Here is a 4,338-nt window from a genome sequence, read left to right on the forward strand (position 1 = left end):
GGTGAAAATCAAATAGTAAAATTTACATCATAAGGTACAGAGAGAAAAAGTCTGGTGGTGCTAGAAGGAGACTAAAGATGGATGCCAAACCAAACATAAAATTATAGAAATCTATGATAGGATTGTATAAGGAGTCCAATTTTATTTAGATAGAAACTATCTACCTTTTAATTAGGTATCTGAGCTCTGGGCAGAGCCCACATTGAATCCTGGGTCTCCAAAAAGGGAGAATTATTATGAGATTAGACCACATGATGCTTTTACAGTGCACTTAAAAAATTTTTTTAAAAACAAGACATTTCTAAGTGTCTAAACCACATTCTTCCTTAAAAAGCCAAGGATAACCTCTGTTGCAATAAGTATTTTAGTCAAAAAATATATGTACACAAACAGGTAACACAATACAAAAGTAAGCAGTTTAAGAGCTGAGAGAAACTTGACTGTTCACATTCTTGGGGTGCCATAAGGAAAAACAGGTTTCTCCCCCAAAGGGAGTCTATCATCTTCTTCATTTTCTTTAAGGAACCCAAGGCTATTATAAACTATTTTAGGTCCCACATGCAGCAGAGGGTACAAGAGAAAGGAGAGACATAATTTAGTCAACAAAGAAGAAATAAACTTTTGCTCAAAAAAAGAGACAAAGTCCTAGGAGAAAAGCAAAAGCAAAAACATGAAAGCCTTTTAAATACAAACACACACATATGCACACATACACACACACATCTTGGATGTTAGCTTTTAATTAAGCTGACTTTTAACCATTGAGCTCCTTTAAAAAATCTTTTTAAATCTCTTTACCCTATTTCAGCTAGGACAAATTGCTATTATTTCAGAAGTATAGCCATTGCTCTTTCAGTTTGGCCTGGCTAGCAAAAAGGTGGTCTTGTTATGTAAATAAAGCCCCTTAGTAGTCAAAATCAAAAATCTTTTTGTTGGGAGCCAAAAAGGCCAAAGGGATCATGACCAACTCAGCATTCCACTGGAGGCTATATGATCAAATAACAAACTGTTTATCATGAATGCAGGATGTGAGCGAACTCACACTGTGCCTGCCACCAAAAGGTTTGCTGAGGGCCATCACTCCCTGGCCCCGGGCTCCTTGAAGTTATCTACTGAGAAATCTAGCGCTTATTGTTCAAAGGATGCAGTCTCACAAGCCTGCTGTGAACCAAAAGCCTGACTGACAATTATCCGACAATCACCAACCCCCTTCTCGCTCTTTTGTCTAATAAATATGGAGGGCTGTGTAAAGCTCAGGGCCCTTGTCCACTAGAGGCAAGGTGCCCCCGACCCCTTCTTCTAAATATACTCTTTTGTCTTTGTCTTTTATTCCCACGTTCGCCCCCTTTGTTCAGTCCACCACTTTATTCAGTCCACCAGTGGCAGGCCACTAGTGGTGCCCTGAACAGAGACAGAATTGGGTGTTCTACATCTTTTTTCTTGTTTTTTTTTTTTTTTTTTTTTCCTTTTGCTGGCCATTTTTCTTCCTCCTCCCCACCACCTTGTGTGTGTGTGTGTTGGCAGAGGGGTGGGGTTGGGGGGAATTTAGCCACTTCAGAGGTCTTGTTCCCCATAATTTGGAACTCCCTTCAGATTTGATGAAGTTGGATAGAGTTGATCAAACCCAATGGGAAAAAAGACTGAAACAACAACAAAAACAGAAACAAATGACAACAACAACAAAACCAGTTAAGCAAAACAAATGATTGCACAACTTACATGATTACTGAGTGCTGTAATGGTAAGGAGAACTTAAGACCAGCTGGTTGTTAACTTTAGCAAAGACAAAACCCCAATTCAGGTACTTACCTAGGGATGTGTCTCATGCTGGAGACGGCTCTCTATCATCCTAGAAGCAGGAAACAAAACTCATCTTCCCTGTTGAAAATGAGCTCAAACTCCGTAAAGGAGTTTTCTGCCTTCCATCATTATGGAAGCAGGAAAACTTGCCTTCCTTGTTGGAAGCAAGTAAAACCCCCCAAAAAAGGGAGTTGTACAGCAAAATAAACTTTAGATCATGACCAAATTTGGGAGACCAGGATACTCTGGGGGGGTGCTCCCAGACCTCAGCAAATTGTAATATTGGTTTGAGCCATAAAGATAGCTCATGCTGGTACCAAGCACCAATAGAAGATTTCTCAAAGGTCAGGAGGGGCACCTCCACTCAATTTCTCCGTGGTTACCAAAATGAGAATCCCCAAAATTTGAGACCAGTCTTAGTTAATTTAGAAAGCTTATTTTGCCAAGATTGAAGATGTGCGCCCATGACACAGCCTCAGGAGGGCCTGACAACATGGGCCCAAGGTGGTCAGAGCACAGTTTTGTTTTATACATTGTAGGGAGACATGAGACATCAATCAACATATGTAAGACGAACATTGGTTCAGTCTAGAAAAGTGGGACAACTGGAAGTGGGGAGAGGGCTTCCAGGTCTTAGGTAGATAAGAGACAAATGGTTGCATTCTTTTGAGTTTCTGATTAGCCTCTCCAAAGGAGACAATCAGATATGCAATTATCTCAGTGAGCAGAGGGGTGACTTTGAATAGAATGGGAGTCAGTTTTGCTGTAATCAGTTCTCAGCTTGACTTTTACCTTTAGCTTAGTGATTTTGGGGACCCAAGATATTTTACTTTCACACTATTTAGCCATGAGCATGGGATGTGTTTCCATTTGTTTGTGTCTTCTCTGATTTCTTTGAGCAGTGTTTTGCAAGTCTCATTGTAGAGATCTTTCACCTCCCTGGTCACCTGGATTCCTAGGTATTTTATTCTTTTTGTGGCAATTGTGAACAGGATTGCCTTTCTAATTTGGCTCTTGGCTTGGCTATTGTTGGTATGTAGGAATGTTAGTAAATTTTGTACATTGATTTTGTATCCTGAAACTTTATTGAAGTTGTTTATCAGCTGAAGGAGCTTTTGGGCTGTGACTATGGGGTTTTCTAGATATATAATCATGTTGTCTACAAACAGATAGTTTGATTTCCTTTCTTCCTATTTGGATGGGCTTTATTTCTCTTGCATGACTGCTCTGGCTAAAACTTTCAATACTATGTTGAATATAAGAGAGAACATCCTTGTGCTGGTTCTCAAGGGCAATGCTTGTAGCTTTTGCTCATTTAGTATAATGTTGGCTGTGGGTTTGTCATAGATGGCTCTGATTATTTTGAGGAACGTTGCTTCAATATCTAGTTTATTGAGAGTTTTCAACATGAGGGCATACTAAATTTTATTGAAAGCCTTTTCTGCATCTTTTGAGATAATGATGTGGAAAATGTCTTTAGTTTTGTTTATGTGATAAATCACACTTACTGATTTGCCTATCTTGAACCAACCTTAAATCCCAGGGATGAAGCCTTCTTGATCATGGTGGATTATCTTTTTAATGTGCTGCTGGATTCTGTTTGTAAATATTTTGTTGAGGAGTTTTGTATCAATATTCATCAAGGTTATTGGCCTGAAGTTTTCTTTTTTTGTGTGTTTCTTCCAGGTTTTGATATCAGCATGATGCTGGCCTCATAGAATGAGTTGGGGAAGAGTCCTTTCTCCTCAATTTTTTTGGAATAGTTTCTGTGGGTGTGGTACCAGCTCCTGTTTGTATATCTGGTAGAATTCAGCTTTGAATCCATCAGGTCCTGAGCTTTTTTTGGTTAGTGGGCTATTTATTACTGATTCAACTTTGGAGCTCATTATTGGTCTGTTTAGGAAATCAGTTTCTTCCTGGTTTAGTCTGAGGAGGATGTATATGGTTTTTTAGTTGGTGTGCATAGAGGTGTTCTTAGTAGTTTCTGATGGTTATTTTTATGTCTTTGGGGTCAGTGGTAACTTTCCTTTGTCACTTCTAAGAGTGTTTATTTGGATCTTCTCTCTTTTTTTCTTTTATAGTCTAGCTACTGGCCTATCCATTTTATTAATTTTTTCAAAGAACCAATTCCTGGATTCATTAATCTTTTGAATTCTTTTTGTGTCTCTGTTTCTCTCAATTTAGCTCTGATTTTGGTTATTTCTTGTGTTTTGCTAGCCTTGGGGTTGATTCTTGAACGAATTCTTTCAGTTGTGATGTTAGGCTGTTAATTTGATATTTTTCTAACTTTTCGATGTAGGCATTTGGTGCTGTGAATTTCCCTCTTAACACTGCCTTAGCTGTGTCTCAGATATTCTGGTATGTTGTATCTTAGTTCTCTTTAGTTTCAAATAACTTCTTGATTTCTGCCTTAATTTCATTATTTACCCAGAGTCATTCAGGAGGATGTTGTTTTCATGTAATTGCATGGTTTTGAGTGATTTTCTTAGTCTTGACTTCTATTTTTATGGTTCTGTGGTCTGAGAATATGTTTGGTGT

The 4,338-nt window shown here is 38.5% G+C and overlaps 1 annotated feature.

The window, feature by feature from the left end:
• Positions 822-1,383: an enhancer, noted in NCBI's record as "NANOG hESC enhancer chr14:53726964-53727525 (GRCh37/hg19 assembly coordinates)". NCBI's record gives its function as "activates a minimal SCP1, AML or CMV promoter by ChIP-STARR-seq in primed H9 embryonic stem cells {active_cell/tissue: H9 hESC(primed)}" and the evidence as "EXISTENCE:reporter gene assay evidence [ECO:0000049][PMID:30033119]".

Source organism: Homo sapiens, chromosome 14 (assembly GCF_000001405.40).
Source record: "Homo sapiens chromosome 14, GRCh38.p14 Primary Assembly".
Lineage (NCBI taxonomy): Eukaryota > Metazoa > Chordata > Mammalia > Primates > Hominidae > Homo > Homo sapiens.